The 17,899-nt window shown below is 42.9% G+C and overlaps 1 protein-coding gene across 4 annotated transcripts in view; it reads left to right on the top strand.

The window, feature by feature from the left end:
- METTL9 (methyltransferase 9, His-X-His N1(pi)-histidine) overlaps positions 1–17,899 on the top strand; it is a 60,264-nt gene that overhangs the window by 19,911 nt on the left and 22,454 nt on the right. For all 4 annotated transcript variants that reach the window (NM_001288659.2, NM_001288660.2, NM_016025.5 and 1 more), the window contains exons 3-4: positions 747–956; positions 7,813–7,997. In NM_001288659.2, the coding sequence (NP_001275588.1) occupies positions 747–956; positions 7,813–7,997 (395 nt within the window). The remainder of the gene's footprint in view (positions 1–746; positions 957–7,812; positions 7,998–17,899) is intronic.

Below are 17,899 nucleotides of genomic sequence, written 5' to 3' on the forward strand. Positions count from 1 at the left end.
ACATAAAAGATAATATCTTTGCTGGGCACGGTGGCTCATGCCTGTAATCCCAGCACTTTGGAGGCAGAGGCGGGTGGATCACGAGGGCAGGAGATCGAGACCATCCTGGCTAACATGGTGAAACCCCTTCTCTACTAAAAATCCAAAAAATTAGTCAGGTGTGGTGGCGGGCGCCTGTAGTCCCAGCTACTCAGGAGGCTGAGGCAGGAGAATGGCATGAACCTGGGAGGCGGAGCTTGCAGTGAGCAGAGATCGTGCCACTGCACTCCAGTCTGGGCGACGGCAGAGCGAGACTCTGTCTCAAAAAAAAAAAGAAAAAAAAAATTAGGCCAGGCGCAGTGGCCCATGCCTGTAATCCCAGCACTTTGGGAGGCCGAGGCGGGTAGATCACCTGAGGTCAGGAGTTCGAGACCAACCTGGCCGACATGGTGAAACCCTGTCTCCACTAAAAATACAAAAAATAAGCCGGGTGTGGTGGTGCATGCCTGTAATCCCAGCTACTCAGGAGGCTGGGACAGGAGAATCGCTTGAACCCAGGAGGCGAAGGTTGCAGTGAGCCGAGATCATGCCACTGCACTCCAGCCTGAGTGACAGAGTGAGACCTTGTCTAAAAAAAAAAAAAATCTTAACCATGTAATAAGTGATTATGGTTGTTGGTGCTGAGTCACTATATTCACTTTGTGTGTGTATGTGAGGGGTGCTTAATTTGCATAGACACTTCCATTTTTGTCCTTTTTTTCTTTCAGGTTGCTAGGAAGAGGCTCAATGTTTGTGTTTTCACCAGATCAGTTTCAGAGACTGCTTAAAATTAATCCAGACTGGAAAACCCACAGACTTCTTGATTTAGGTGCTGGAGATGGAGAAGTCACAAAAATCATGAGCCCTCATTTTGAAGAAATCTATGCCACTGAGCTTTCTGAAACTATGATATGGCAGCTTCAGAAAAAGAAATACAGGTATAATTTTCTTGGTTTTAGATGCATTTCTTCTTGAAAGTATATTATTTAAAGGATATGAATAAAAAATGATCTTCCATGATTAGAAATTTAAAAAATCATCTCATACATAATTAACTGGAAATGTAGAGAAATAATCTTCTGGTAGCAGTATTTTTCTGGAGCGGAGGGGTTGGCACTATAGGTAAGAAAAGCACTAGCGAGAGACAACTTGGAAAAGGCAGATCAGAAGAAGGGACTTCTTCCCTAATCAGAATGTGGCATTCTCAAAAAAAATTTTTTTAAGTAGTGGTAAAATACACATAGCATAGAATTTACTGTTGTAACTATTTTTAAGTGTACAGTTCAGTGGTATTAAGTACATTTACATTGTTGCATAATCATCACCACTATTCATCTCCAGAAATTTTTGTCTTCCGAAACGGAAACTCTGTACCCAATAAACAATAACTCCCCATTTTTCCCTCCTCGTAACCCCTGACAACCACCATTCTACTTTGTCTATGAATTTGACTATTCTGGGTATTTCGTATAAGAGGAATTATATACATTAGCTCCTTGTGACTGGCTTATCGCATGTAGCATAATGTCTTCAAGGTTTACTCATGTTGTACCATGGGCCAAAATTTTCTTTTCTTTTCTTTTCTTTTTTTTTTTGAGATGGAGTCTTGCTCTGTCACCCAGGCTGGAGTGCAGTGGCACGATCTCGGCTCACTACAACCTCTACCTCTCAGGTTCAAGCAATTCTCCTGCCTCAGCCTCCCAAGTAGCTGGGATTACAGGCATATGCCACCATGCCTGGCTAATTTTTTTGTAGTTTTAGTAGGGATAGGGTTTCACTATTTGGCCAGGCTGGTCTCGAACTCCTGACCTCAAGTAATCCAAAGTGCTGGGATTACAGGTGTGAGCCACTGCGCCTGGCCCAAAATTTTCTTTAAGGATGAATGATAATTCGCTGTATGCATGTACCACATTTTGTTTACCCATTTATCTGTCAGTAGATATTTGGGTTGTTTCTACCATTTGGCTGTTGTGAATAATGCTGCTATGAACATGGGTGTACAGATACCGACTTGAGCCCCTACTTTTACTTCTTTTGGGTATAGACCCAGAAGTGGAGTTGCTGGATCACATGGCTAAGTCTGGGTTTAATTTTTTGAGGAATTGCAATACTTTTCCATTGCTGCTGCACCATTTTACATTCCCACCAGCAATGTAGTACAAGGGTTTCAGTTTCTCCACTCCTTGACAATACTTGCTATTTTCTGTTTTGTTTTGCTTTTAGTTTATAGTCATCAGTGTTAATCTTGGTTTTAAGGTCATCTGGAGTTTGAAAGACTAGGAAGAAGGGCCTTTTTTTTTTTTCTGGAGATGAAGTTTCACTTGCCCAAGCTGGAGTGCGGTGGCGTGATCTCAGCTCACTGAAACCTCCACCTCCTGGATTCAGGCAATTCTACTGCCTCAGCCTCCTGAGTAGCTGGGACTACAGGCACATGCCACTATGCCCGGCTAATTTTTTTTTTTTTTTTTTTTTTGTATTTTTAGTAGAGACAGGGTTTCACTATGTTGGCCAGGCTGGTCTCAAACTGCTGACCTCGTGATCTGCCTGCCTTGGCCTCCCAAAGTGTTGGGATTACAGGCGTGAGCCACTGCACCCGGCTGGAAGAAGGGTATTCTTATTTCAGTATGATTTATTGATTGGGAGATTTCTATATATTGGCTCAGTGCAGAATCAGGGAGGTAGAGCTGGAGTCAGCCTTTCTCTGTGATATTTTTGGAAGTCTGGTTAGCCTTAGAAAGAAAGGAGAAGAAATTATGTAATCACTCACTTTCCTATCCACATGTTTCTACTTTTACAGATTAATCCTAGAGATAGAGCATCAGTGTAGCTTTTGGAGCAGGACTGGTTTGAGCATTTGCAAAACATGGAGATTTTTAGCCTGGAGAAGGGAAGATTTCTGTGAACAGATACGCTGTGGGATTTTTATATGGAAGGAAAGGAATAGGTATAGTCTCTGGTGTAATCAGGCACAGCTACGCCTTAGAAGTTGAGTTACAGCTTAGGGAGATCGACCTTCCTAGCTTGAACTGTTTAAGTCCTTATCACTGTCAGTGTTTAAATTGCTGTTAGGGTTGTTATAGGAAGAGACATAAGGAAGGTGTGAGTTTGAACTGAGTGATTTGAAAGCCCCTTAGCTTTAGCAAGCTGTCTCAGATAAGGTTCTGGTGGGTCTGCATGGTGATAATTGACATGTTTTCCTTCAGTTAGAGATTAATTCGGCATTTCAAAACTTAGAATGCTTTGACCTTTGTTATAACAGTGGCTTAAGTCAGGCTGAATTCCTAATCTGATTCCACCTCCCCCCCTTAAAAAAATCCATGCTTTGAAGTGGGTCGAAGAGGAAGGTGTTAAACCCATCTTCAGATGATTGACCGCCCCAGCCTTCTTTTGCTTTGATGCTAAGTGCCTAAATGGAATTTTCAGGGAAACTTCAGATGTTTGAAATTAGTAATATATCTGGAGTGTACATGGTATGTAAAGATATCTACCACATAAAAAATACTTGGTTTAATTTTTTCCCTAATATACAGCACATAAGCCAAAAATCTGCAGTTTGACCTGCATGGGAAATTCATACTGATTGGCATTCCTTTCATAATATTAGTATGAAGTGAAAACATTTTCACAAAAGTGGTAAATTTTGTGACTATTGGTGCAGTTTGAGGTTTTAATGAGGAAGTAGTATCTTTATTTCCTAAGATTAGAGGTCACCCAATCCAAGATGGCAAGGCAGACTTTCAGCTGAATTTTACATTTTTTTCTTCCTTTTGAGATTAGAGCTATTTTCTATTTCTCTTCAATATCTGGGCCATGAAAAACAGGCTTTTTATTAATTTATATATATATATTTTTAGAGACGGGTCTCTCTCTGTCACCTGGGCTAGAGCATGTGGCGTGATTATAGCTCACTGTAGCCTTGAACTTCCGGGCTCAAGTGATCCTCTCACCTCAGCCTCCTCAGTAGCTGGGACTACAGGTGCCTGCTACCATATCTGGCTAATTTGAGAGAGAGAGTGTGTGTGTGTGTGTGTGTGTGTGTTTTTGTGTGTTGTGTGTGTAGAGACAGGAGTTTCATTATGTTGACCAGGCCAGTCTTGAACTCCTGGCCTCAAACAGTCCTCCTGCCTTGGCTTCCCAGAGTGCTGAGATTACAGGCATGAGCAAAACACACCTTTTTAAATAAAGGTTCTGTAATTTTTTTTTTTTTTGAGACAAAGTCTCGCTCCATCACCAGGCTGGAGTGCAGTGGCACAATCTCAGCTCACTGCAACCTCTACCTCCCAGGTTCAAGTGATTAGCCTGCCTCAGCCTCCCAAGTAGCTGGGATTACAGGCGCATGCCGCCACACCCAGCTAAATTTTTTGTATTTTAGCAGAGATAAGGTTTCACTGTGTTGCCCAGGCTGGTCTCGAACTCCTGAACTCAGGCAATCCGCCCGCCTTGGCCTCCCAAAGTGCTGGGATTATAGGTGTGAGTCACTGCGCCCAGCCAAAGTTTCTGCATTTCAAAAATAGGTCAATAAACAGAAAATGGCCAGGTTTTTCCTTTGTATTCGCAAGTTGTCATTGTTTATGCCAGAAAACCCAATTGTAAAACTAAAGGATGTGGTTTTGATTTTTACAGCAAGACAGTTTTCTTTATATTGTTAGTGTTTCATTTTTTATTTAGGAATTATCAAAATACAGATTGCTTATTTCCTAAGTTTAGAGCTCTCCCAACCCGAGATGGCAAGGCATCTTTTTTTTTGGGAGACGGAATCTCTCCCTGTTGCCCAGGCTGGAGTGCAGTGGTGCCATCTCGGCTTACTGTGCAGCCTCCGCCTCAGCCTCCCGAGTAGCTGGGACTACAGGCGCATGCTGCCACGCCCAGCTAAGTTTTTGTATTTTAGTAGAGATGGGGTTTCACTGTGTTGCCCAGCTGGTCTTGAACTCCTGAGCTCAGGCAATCTGCCCGCTTTGGCCTCCCAAAGTGCTAGGATTATAGGTGTGAGCCACCATGCCTGGCCTTTTTTTTTTTTTTTTTTTTTGAGACAGGATCTTGCTTTGTCGTCCAGGCTGGAGTGCAGTGACACAATCATAGCTCACTGTAACCTCAAACTCTTGTGTTCAAGCCATCCTCCTGCCTCAGCTGCCCAAGTAGCTTAGCTAGGACTACAGGTGTGTGCCACCATCCTTGGCTATTTTTAATTTTTTATAGAGATGGGGTCTTGTTGTGTTGCCCCAGCTGGTCTCAAACTCCTAGGCTCAAGCGATCCTCCCAAAGTGCTGGAATTACAGATGTTAGCTACTGCACCTGACTGCTTTATCATTCTCTAAGGAGAAATATATTTTACATCCTTCTGGAAGTATTAACTCATTTTCTTGAAAATAATAATCACTTGAATAGATACCCTCATTCTAGGTTTAGAAATACTGTTTTAGAAAAAGGAAAATTCTGACAACTTGTTAGGATTCCTGGGCTAATACGCAGTTTTAGTGGGGCTAAGCAATTTGTCTTCATCAGTGGAACTGAGTGAGTTTACAAATAAAAATCACAAAACAGAAGTAAGAATGCACTTGAGCTTCTATAGGTATAGATTTAACTGTCTTAGTGTTAGTCACCTTTTTGTGTTATGAGCATATATTTCTCTTCCAAAATTACCAACACAGAGGCTACCTATCTGAAACTCATTCTGAGGTAGGTTTAGTGAGATTATTCTAGATTAGAACATGCTGATGATGTTTGGCTTCTGCTTCATTGCAGATAGACATCAGATTTTTTTTGTTGTTTTGTTTTTAAAAATCAAATATATAATTTGTGTTTTACAATTTGTGTCTTTAAATTGGCTGCTTAGCTAAGGCGTTAATATATACAAATAGTCCTTTCTTTATTCATTTCCATTTTTTAGAATGGGAATTGATGACATTTTTGTTCTGAAAGTAGTCTTCTTAGTAATGTTTGGAAACTCTTGGAATGAGCTAAATTGAATTTCCAAAATTGCTATTACAGTTGACTTAGTACAACAAAGTGATTTTAAAGCCTGAATGCTCTACTTATTTCAAACAGTATTTAGTGCAATGAAACACCTGCACCAGTAAGGAATCTGACTAGTCCCTGGAAGTTTGTTAGGCTGCTATTTGGAAGAGGCTTTAGTTTGACAAAAATATAGATTGAAAAGAAAATGCAGCTAAGTGCTTTGTGTTTTTAAAATTCTGCTATTCAGAAATGCTCTAAATATCATTATGCTAATGAGGTTTTCAAAACAACCCTCATTATACTTTTAGAATTTTCTGAGCTATCTTACTGTATCTGCTCAACATTACTAAAGACTTGTTTACCAAAGATCCTTTTTTTATGTTTCCTTTTTTACCTGTCTCTATCATAACATATCTCACCTACCACATTCTGATTGGTATAACCAAGCAGGAGTAAGTAATTTGTAAAATTGCCTAATTGTGTGGCTAACAAAGACTCTTGATATAAAAACTCCCCCTTTCTAGAGATAACAACATTGTAGAGGACTGAAAATGTTCTCTGTGTTCTGTGTACGTGTGTATGAAAGTGAGAGATTGAGGATCGAGAGTGGTTTTTTTTTAAACCATGCTCTTAATGTTAATAGGATGTCCTGGGCTTTATCTTTTCTGTATAGTTTTTGTTTTGTTTTGTTTTGTTTTGAGATGGAGTCTGGCTCTGTCCTCAGGCTGGAGTGCAGTGATGTGATCTCGGCTCACTGCAGCCTCCGCCTCCCTGATTCAAGCGATTCTCCTACCTCAGCCTCCCGGGTAGCTGGGATTACAGGCACGCGCCACCACACCCAGCTAATTTTTGTATTTTTAGTAGAGACAGTGTTTCACCATGTTGGCCTGGATGGTCTCAATCTCCTGACCTCATGATCCGCCTGCCTTGGCCTCCCAAAGTGCTAGGATTACAGGCGTGAGCCACCGTGCCCGGTCCTTTTCTGTATAGTTATTCAGATATGAAGATTCTCAAGTATGAAATATGTCTTTCCTGGGAACGGAAATGTGCTCAAAGGTCATAAGTTATCAATGGAAATTATTTTATACCACTCCCAGCCATTTTTAAGAATAGAAGGGATCCTAGGAATAGAAAACATTAATTATATGATGCATTTTTTGATTAAGTTCCAATGAATGGTAAAAAGCTGGACTCTTGTTCATTAACTGATATTCAAAAGAATTTGATGTTTTAGTTTCATAACTTTGTCAGGTTACATCTTCATACTTATTAAACATGATTAGTTCTTGTAAAGGAAACTTCGTATGTGTTGAGATTTGGAAATAGGTGAAATGCTAAATTTAAAGAAATATGGGCCAGTCGTGGTAGCTCACACCTGTAATCCCAGCACTTTGGGAGGCCGAGGCAGTCGGATCGCTTGAGGTGAGGAGTTCAAGATCAGCTTAGCCAATGTGGTAAAACCCCGTCTCTACTAAAAACACAAAAATTAGCCGGGCATGGTGGCAACTGCCTGTAATCTCAGTTACTGGGGAGGCGGAGGCAGGAGAATCACTTGAACCTGGGAGGCAGAGGTTGCAGTGAGCCGAGATTGCTCTACTGTACTCCAGCCTGGGCAACAGAGTGAGGCTGTGTCTCAAAAAAGAAAAAATTAAAAAAAAAAAAAAATGGTTGCTATTTTTCTCTTCCTTGGCCATGTCATTATTGCAAACATAAATTATAACAGAAGATTTTGAACTTAATTTAGAAGACAAAGTTAAAGCCTTTATTGTCATCTCAGTTATTTTTAAAGATGTCTTTAGAGGGACTTTATGTTAATACAGTTATTTCTGATTTTTCTAGAGTCCTTGGTATAAATGAATGGCAGAATACGGGGTTCCAGTATGATGTCATCAGCTGCCTGAACTTGCTGGACCGCTGTGATCAGCCCCTGACTTTGTTAAAAGATATCAGAAGTGTCTTGGAGCCAACTAGAGGCAGGGTCATCCTTGCCCTTGTCCTCCCCTTTCATCCCTATGTGGAAAACGGTAAGTGTGGTCAGTCAGGCTAGCTCTTACTGAGGATAGCTGTTTATTGGTATTTGTGATTTTGTGCTGTGTACAATTAAATATTGTCTAGTATGTCTTATAATAGCCTGCAGTTTAAAGTAATCCAGTTAATCCATGTAAAACACCATCTTGGTTAATGTTCACCTTAAGGTGGACTTTATAGAGGTCTAGCATTCCCCTTGCAGTGGTAATAATTAATATTTAGCTGGGTCTGACTGCTTGAGATTGAAAGCTAAAAATGCAACTGTATCTCTGGTTTTAAATGGAGCTTGAACCATTTATTTATTAGCTTTACAACTGAATCGAGCAATAAACAGTGCCTTTAAATCTGGTCGTATATACTTGCTGAATGTCATGGCTGTTTTGTTTTCCGTTTTGCATCTCTTGTGCCAGACTCTAAAAATGATAAATGCTTTTATCTGTTTTTTTCTCTTTTGAAGACCATGTGTGTTGTTGCAGCATGTATCATTTCTTTCTGTAACATTTGATTTTTTGATTGCATGGTCTTGCTCTTCAGCAATATTGAATGAAGAATATGTTAGAAGAAACGGGTTGATTTCATATCACTTCATAGTTACTGTGACTTCTGGCCATTCTGACTTAATGCCACATTAAGTTATAGTTTTAGTTTGTGTGGTTTGCATTTTAGGTCATCTTGAAAGTTATGATTTTAAGTCTCCTGCATTTTCATAAGTTAATGTACATTAATATAAAATTATTTATTTTATGAATAATACAAGTTACTATTTAAAAATCTTCAGTGTTTCATTTATTTTTTTGAGACAGAGCCTTGCTCTGTCGCCCAGGCTGGAGTGCAGTGGTGCGATCTTGGCTCACTGCAACCTCTACCTCGTGGGTTCAGGCATTCTCCGGCCTCAGCCTTCTGAGTCCCAAGTAACTGGGACTTCAGGCACATGCCACTATGCCTGGCTAATTTTTGTATTTTCAGTAGAGATGGGGTTTCGCCATGTTGACCAGGCTGGTCTCTAACTCCTGATCTCAGGTGATCCTCCTGTCTCTGCCTCCCAAAATGCTGAGATTACAGGTGCGAGCCACCATCCCTGGCTGAAAAATCTTCAGATTTTCTATTTCACTGCCTCGATTGACCTTGACTTCAGAAACTCTTAAGAGCTCACAGACATTTTGAAGAAATCTATTAGGATTTTGCAAATGTCATTATTATCAAATATGAAAATCTATGTCTTAAGGAATAATGCCCGTTTCATATAACCATTGGATTCTGTGTGGATTTGTGGTGTCACAAATTAATTTAATTTCTTGTATGTGTTTTTTCTCCCCAGATCTTAGTGCCTTCAGATTTAATGCTTGTCTTAATATTTACCAAATGGTTTCAGATTTGTGTTGATAATGGGGAAAATGGGGAATTCTTTCGATATAGAAGGGTGTGGAAAAGAGCAGAGAGAACAGATCTCCCCTTTCCCATCTTAGATCTCCATTTTTATGTTCCTGTTGTCGAGTGGTTTGTCATGGTAAAGAAAAAATGCTTTTAAATGTGAGTGTATATATATCATCTATATGTTGCAAAATGTCCTCCTTCGTGATTCAGCAACCTGATCTTACTTCAGTGCTACTCCTTCCTGTGTAATTAAGCCTCAGCTCCAGCTCTCTGTATTGCACTCACTAGTCATCAGGTTGGAAGGTCCTGGGTTCCTGTGTCCTGTTGGGCAACCGCATGATAGAACTTTAATGCTACTTCCTGGCATAGCAGGAGATGAAAGAGCAGGGGGAAGAAACATCAATCTAACCACGAATTTTATTTCCTTGTGTTTCTGATGCTAAAAATGGAGAGGAAGTCAAACTAGACAAGAGGGAAGTCTCCATGAAGTGTGGAAAACAAGCTCCTTGATTGTGGATGTGCAGAGCTGCCTGTTGAGTCTGAGGAGTCTGGCATGTGACACACTGCAGACCTGAGACAAGAAGCCTTGTTGCTATGGGTGACTTTTAGTGACCTATAAATTTTGCAGGCGCGCCACGGCACTCTATTATTGCTTTCTTTCTCTGAGTCACTAATTAGATCCTGATGATTTCCATGTGAAACCATGAGGACTGGGAGATGCAAAATGGTTTTGCTGTGTAGATTCATGAATGCTGGACTGTTGGAGGATATCTGAGTGTGCTTTGCATACTTGGCTTAATTTGTTTTTTTTTAACTAAAAGTAGTTGTAGGTGAAATGATTACTTAGGTAATTGTTTTGGTAAATGGCTTGAAGTTGAACCACAGCAGTTTTGCTATTTGGAAAAAAAATGAAAAAAATACCATTCTAATTTCAGTTTATTTGGTTTACTGACCCAGTTTTGGCTAGGGGTTATTGAATCTAGTGAGAATTATTTTAAGCACCCCCCAAAGAAGGAAAGATATGAAGTCAAGAGAAGGATAATTATATTGTAAAAATAAAAATTTAATGATGTTTAATTTTTCAAAATTGTAATTTTTATTAAAAAGTAATTCAGTAATTAAAAAAAAATACTTCAAGCAACTTACTAGAGGGTTTACAATAAAAAGTTTCTGGGCTGTGCGTGGTGGCTCATGCTTGTAATCCCAGCACTTTGGGAGGCCAAGGCAGGCAGATCATGAGGTCAGGAGATCGAGACCATCCTGAGTTAACACAGTGAAACACCATCTCTGCTAAAAATATAAAAACAAAATTAGCCGGGTGTGGTGGTGGGCGCCTGTAGTTCCAGCTACTGGGGAGGCTGAGGTGGGAGAACGGCGTGAACCCAGGAGGCGGAGCTTGCCGTGAGCCGAGATTGCACCACTGCACTCCAGCCTGGGTGACAGAGCCAGACTCCATCTCAAAAAACAAACAAAACAAAAAAAGTTTCTCATCCAGTCCAGTTCCACAATCTTGTTCAGGTTTCTTGAATATTCTTTAAAAGATAGTCTATGTAAATGTAAGTCTGTATGTACATTAAAAAAATTATACAGGCAGTTCCCAATTATAAATAACTTCTGTTGCCTTTTTCCACTTAAATGTATCTAGGAAAGTAGTTCTTACCAGCACATATGTCTCCACATGGTTGTCTACATGTAAGCTGTAGATGCTGGAGCTGGCGTGGACTGGTTCATGAGAGCTGATTGTTGTTTTGGTAGGAATTTAAGTGAACTGGTTGTTAAACATGGCCATTATTGAAATTGACCATGATGGGAGTATTTACACTATAGAAATTGGCAAACACTGCAAATAGCCATTTTCTTCTCCAAGCTGGTAGTTACACATTTACCAGCACACCACTAGATGTATAACTTTACTAGAGGAGGTCTCTAGATAGCAATTTGCTTAGTAATGTTTAAAAACAAAACACCCTCCCCTGTCCTCCCCCACTTTTTTTTCTTTCTTTCTTTTTCTTTCTTTTCTGAAAGGGACTTGCTCTGTTGCCCAGACGGGAGTGCAGTGGTGCTGTCACAGCTCACTGCAGCCTTGACCTCCTGGGCTCAAGCTATTCTCCCACCTCAGCCTCCTGAGTAGCTGGGACTACAGGTGCATACCACCACACCCATCTAACTTTTGTATTTTTTTGGTAGAGAGGGCGTCTGGCGGCGTTGTCCAGGCTGGTCTTGAACTCTTGGAATCAAGTGATTGGCCTGCCTTCGCCTCCCAGCGTGTTGGGATTATAGATGTGAGCCACTGCACCTGGCCTTGTTTCTAACTTTAATGAAAATATTACTACTTTAAATATGATGCTAATTTTTTTTTTTTTTACTTGAAGTTGCTGTTGTTTGGCTTGAGATGTTTCTTTTTTTTTTTTTTGGAGATGGAGTCTCACTCTGTCACCGAGGATGGAATGTGGTGGCACGATCTTGGCTTACTCACTGCAACCTCCGCCTCCTGGGTTCAAGTGATTTTCCTGACTCAGCCTGCTGAGTAGCTGGGGTTATAGATGTGTGCCACCACACCCGGCTCATTTTTGTATTTTTAGTAGAGACAGGGTTTCGCTATGTTGGCCAGGCTGATCTTGAACTCCTGACCTCAAGTGATGCCCCCTCAGTCTCCCAAAGTGCTGTGATTACATTTCCCTCTTAAAGTTGTGTTATAGACTGCGTGTTTGTTTGTGTTCCTCCCAGATATATATTTTGAGGCCCCCACCCCCCATCGTGATGGTATTAGGAAGGGGTCTTTAGGAGGTGATTAGGATTAGATGAGATCATGAGAGCAGAGCCTTCCTGAATGGGATGAATGCCCTTTTAAGAGTTCCGAGAGACCTTGCTTCTCTCTACCTTCTGCCATGCAAGGATACAACAAGAGGTCAGCAGCCTGTACCTAGAAAGAGGGTCCTCACCAGAACTCATAAATTTCTATTGTTCTGTGTCTGGAATTGGTGGGTTCTTGGTCTCTCTGACTTCAGGAATGAAGCTACAAACCTTTGCGGTGAGTGTTACAGTTCATAAAGGCGGCCTGTCTGGAGGTGTTAGTTCCTTCTGGTGGGTTCCTGGTCTTGCTGGCCTCAGGAGTGAAGCTGCAGACCTTTGCGGTGAGTGTTACAGCTCTTAAAGGTGGCACGGACCCAAAGCGTGAGCAGCAGTAAGATTTATTGCAAAGAACGAAAGAACAAAGCTTCCTCAGCATGGATGGGGACCCAGCAGGTTGGTGCTGCTGGCTTGGGTGGCCTGCTTTTATTCCCTTATCTGGCCCCACCCACAGCCTGCTGATTGGTCCATTTTACAGAGAGCTGATTGGTCCATTTTACAGAGAGCTGATTGGTCCGTTTTGACAGAGCGCTGATTGGTGCGTTTACACCTTTAGTTAGACACAGAGTGCTGATTGGTGCGTTTACAATCCCTTAGCAAGACACAAAAGTTCTCCAAGTCCCCTACCTGATTAGCTAGACACAGAACGCTGACTGGTGCGTTTACAAACCATTAGCTAGACACAGAGTGCTGATTGGTGTGTTTACAAACTTTTAGGTAGACACAGAGTGCTGATTGGTACATTTACAAACCTTTAGCTAGACAGAAAAGTTCTCCAGGTCCCCACCCGACCCAGAAGCCCAGCTGGCTTCACCTCTCAATGGCACTGGCTGCGGGACTTTGCGGCACCTAGCCTGGGCACTCCGACAGCCCAGTGGGAGCTTGTCCCCCGATCAAGCCCAGCAGGCGCTGGCTGGTGGCGCCAAGTGCGGGGCCTGCCGAGCCTGCGCCCACCCGGAACCCACGCTGGCTCCCGCCTGCACCTCTCCCTTCACACCTCCCTGTGAGCAGAGGGAGCCGGCTCTGGCCTCGGCCAGCCCCAGAGAGGAGGCCCCTACAGTGCAGCCGTGGGCTGAAGGGCTCCTCGAGCACAGCCAGAGCCGACGCCGTGGCCGAGGGGGCGCCGAGAGCGAGCGAGGGCTGCTAGCACGTTGTCACCTCTCAATCCCCCGTCTAAACAGGATACCCCCAACTGCTGTTGGGAATTTGGCTGATGACCACTCTAGCTACTTCCTGCTGGATAGGGGCGAAGAAGGGGCCCTGCAGTTGTAGTGTCCTCCAGAGGGGAACTCTTTAGGCCAGTGGAAGGGCCAGCGGGTTGGTCCAGGGGTCCTCGGTAGAAGTTGTTAGTTGAGCTCATTTGGGGTTCCATTTGTAAGACCATCTATAGCTTGATGGCCTCCATTCTAGAGGAAACAAATTTGACAAGAAGGTTAAAATTACAGGGCCCAAAGGTGAGTAACAGCAAGATGGCTGCCACAGGACCTAGAAAGGGGAGAAGCCATGTTGCCCAACTCCAGAGGTTGGTACAAGAGTTTGAAAGGTGGTGTCTGATTTCAGAAGCCTTTTCCTGTAAACGCTGGGCGGCATCTCGTACTATCCCTGCCTGGTTAGTGTAAAAACAACACTCTTCTCCTAAGAAGGTGCAGAGTCCTCCCTTCTCAGCAGTGAGGAGGTCTACGCCTCAGGGGTTTTGGAGAGTCACTATTGCCAGAGAGTCTATTTGGGATTGTAGAGTATGGATAGATTTTGTTATTTCTTGCAAACTATCTGAGAAATCCTTTGATAGTGTGTAATAGTAGGATAATGAAGTAGATAAACTGGCTATTCCGGTTCCTGTAGCAGTAGCCATTCCTAACCCTATAAATAGGGGTATTAGTTGTATGGCTCTGTGCTGACGGACTTGAGCTTTGAAGAGTATTGATAGGGTCTGATTTCCACAAGATTAGAAGTTAGGATAATATATGTTTACACTGTTAACTTTTAGCAAACTTTACTTTTGTTGAAAACCTTTTAAGTTTGGGATTTCAATTATTCTTTGCTATTAATAAGACCTCGTTTAGTGTATATTAACTTAGAATTGGTATAGATGGCTCCTTCCTGATTCTGTAAGTACTTTAAGGCTCAGCTGAGTGCAAACAGCTTGCAAGTTTGAGCAGACCAATTATTAGGCAATTTTCCTAACTCTGTTTCTACAAGAGTTTCCTTATCATTTACTGAATACTCATTGTGTCGTTTTTCCTTAATCGCCCGGGAGGAACCATCTATCGTCCTGTCCTGAAGGGAGTTCCTCCTATGTCTGATTGGACCTTTGTATGGTGATTAAGATTTAGATCCCCTGTTAGGAAACCTGCTGGGTTAAGGATTTTTGATAGGAAGGCTATGGGTTGTCAGTGGCCTCAGTGCTTTCGCGCTACGCCCTTGTTTACACTGACAACAAGGTGGTATTGGAGTGTTACAGGGTTACAGAGAAGACCTTCAATTATCAATTATAGGTTTTAACTTTACCCTGGCTTTTAAAGGAATAGGGTACACTGTTTTTTCTTTACTACTTCCATCTCTCTTTCTCTTTGACTTTTTCTTTGTCTCTCTCTCTCACTGACTCCCTCTTTGTCTCTGTCTCTTTGACTTTGTCTCTTTCTTTCTTTCTCTCTGACTCCCTCTGTCTCTTCCTCTCTTCCCTTTCTGCTGGTTTTTCCCTGCCTCTGCCAGCCACTTATCCTGCTGTTCTCCCCTCTCCTTCCCCTTTTGATGGCTTTGGCAGTGTAAGACTGCCGCCTCCTTGGGTTTTTGCACTGCATGCAAAAACTCCATAATTGCCTTGTGGTATTTAATGGGGGTTCCCCCCAGAGGTTAGGAACTCCCTTTCTTTCCATATTGCAGCATTGGCATGTAGGATTACATAAGCATACTTGCTATCTGTATACACATTTATTCTTTTTCCCTTTTCCAGTTCTAAGGCTCAGGTAAGTGCCACTAGTTATGCTAACTGGGCACTGGTCCCTGGGGGAAGAGGCTTACTTTCAAGTACGGTTACATCATGAACTATGGCATAATCTGCCCTTTGTATCCCATTCTCCACAAATGAACTTCCATCGGTATATAGGTTAAGGTCAGGATTAGCTAGGGGGCCTTCTAAGAGATCATCTCGGGCCACATAAGTCTGGACTATAATTTATTGGTAGTCATGCTCGATTGGTTCCTCATCCTCTGGGAGAAAAGTGGCAGGGTTGAGGGCCACGCACATACGTATTTGAAGCACTGGTCCCTCAAGGAGTAGTGCCTGGTATCTAAGCAGGTGGTTGTCTGATAGCCATAAACTTCCTTTGGCACCTAGTATGCCACTTACATCATGAGTAGTCCAGACAGTGAGATCCTTTCCTTGTATTATTTTGATAGCCTCTGACACTAAGATGGCCACCGCCGCAACTACCCGTAAACAGGCCAGCCTTTTGCTACTACATCAATTTCCTTACTTAGGTATGCCACTGGTTGTGGGGTCATCCCACAAGTCTGAGTAAGGACTCCAAGAGCTATCCCTGCTCTCTCTGTGATGTATAAAGAGAAGTTTTGTTCTGTGGGAAGGCTTAAAGTCAGAGCTTATACTAGGGCCTGCTTTAAGGTTTTGAAGGCTATTTCTGCCTCTGGTTCCCCTTCTACTAGATGAGTATTTGCTCTCTGGGTCTCCTCGATTAGAGTATAGAGGGGCCTGGCTATCTCGCTGTATCTGGGGATCCATAGTCAGCAAAAGCCCGTGATTCCAAGGAACCCCCGCAACTGTTTTAATGTCTTAGGGCAAGGATAAGCCAGTATAGGCTGTATTTGTTCCTTGCTGAGGGCCCTCATTCCTTGCTGAGGGCCCTGGTCCCTCTGGCTAAGATTAGGTCTGGATATTTGACCTGCTGTAGGCAAAGCTGGGCCTTTGACCTAGACACCTTGTACCTTTGATTAGCTAGAACGTTCAAGAGATCTAGAGCAGCCTGCTGGCACGAGGCTTCTGAACTGGTAGCCAAAAGTAAATCATCCAAATACTGAAGGATCAGAGTGTCTGGACTTGAGAAGTGTCCTAGATCTTGGGCCAGTGTCTGACCAAACAGGTGAGGGCTATCCCTAAACCCTTGGGGCAAGACTGTCCACGTAAATTGGGATGTGTGGTCTGTGGGATCCTCAAAGGCAAAGAGAAACTGGGAGTCAGTGTGCAGGGTAATACAGAAGAAGGCATCCTTGAGGTCCAGAACAGTGCACCATTCTGCCTCCTCTGGTATTTAAGAGAGCAGGGTATAGGGGTTGGGTACAACTGGATATAGAGGAATTACTGCCTCATTGATGAGTCTAAGATCTTGCACTAGTCTCCACTGACCGTTCAGTTTCTGTATTCCTAGAATTGAGGTGTTTCAGGGACTGCTGCATTTCCATACTAAGCCTTGAGCTTTTAAATGTTTAACAGTATCCTGTAATCCTTTATGAGCTTTAGGCCTTAAGGGATAGTGCCTTTGATAAGGAAAAGTGGTGGGGTCTTTTAGCCTGATTTGGACTGGGCGGGCATTTTTTTGCCCTTCCAAATTGTCCTTCCAATGCCCAGACTTCAGGGCTGATTCCCTCTTCAAGTAGGGGACAACAGATGGGTAACTTGTTCCCCATATTCATGTAGATAATAGCTCCAGCTTTGGCTAATATACCCCTCCCTAATAAGGATGTGGGACTTTCAGGCTTAACAAGAAAGGCAAGTGAAAAGAGCAAAGTTTCCAATTACAACTGAGGAGGTGGGAGAAATACCTGGTTACAGGCTGTCCCAGGATTCCTCGGATGGTAACGGACCTTGAGGACAGTCATCTGGACAGGAGATTAACACTGAGAAGGCCACACCAGTGTCCATGAGGAAGTCAATCCTGGCACTCAATAGTTAAGCATACCTGGGGCTCAGTGAGTATGATGACATGAGCTGGCGCTTGCCCCGGGCACCCTCAATCCTGTTGTTGGATCATCCGGTTGGGGGCTTCTGACCCAGAGAACCTTTGTCTTCTGGGGCAGTGCACCTTCCAGTGATTGCCCCAGCATAGTGGACATGGATGAGGGGGCGGCTTATTTCTCATTGGACAATCTTTCTTAAAGTGTCCTTGTAAACCACATTGATAACAAGCCCTACCGGGTGATTGACCTGCCCCATTTTCTGTCCTCTCTGAACCACCAAGGTTTGTTTGTCTGAAGGCTATGACTAAGGCTGTGGCCTTTCTCTGATCTCACTTTTCCTTTTGGGCCTGTCCCTATTATAGAACACCGAGGTTGCCAGGTTAATAATGCCTCCAGATTTTGTTCAGGGCCCAGGGCTTGCTTTTGGAGCTTTCTCCTGATATCTGCAGCCGATTGGGTAATAAACTTACCTTTTAGGATCAATTGACCCTTGAGTGATTTGGGCGACGGGAGTATATTTTCTTAAGGCCTCCTGTAGCTGCTCAAGGAAGGCAGAAGGATTTTCTTCCTTTCCCTGAGTTACGGTGGACAGCATTGAATAATTCATGGGCTTTTTCCTAATTCTCCTTAGTCCTTCTAGAACACAGGTCAACAGATGTTTACGACTCCAGTCCCCATGATCTGCATCAAGGTCCCAGTGGGGATCTGTACTGGGGACGGCTGGCTGACCAGTAGGGAATTTATCCCTTTCTTCGGCTGTCAT

The sequence above is a fragment of the Homo sapiens genome, chromosome 16, assembly GCF_000001405.40.
Source record: "Homo sapiens chromosome 16, GRCh38.p14 Primary Assembly".
Classification (NCBI taxonomy): domain Eukaryota; kingdom Metazoa; phylum Chordata; class Mammalia; order Primates; family Hominidae; genus Homo; species Homo sapiens.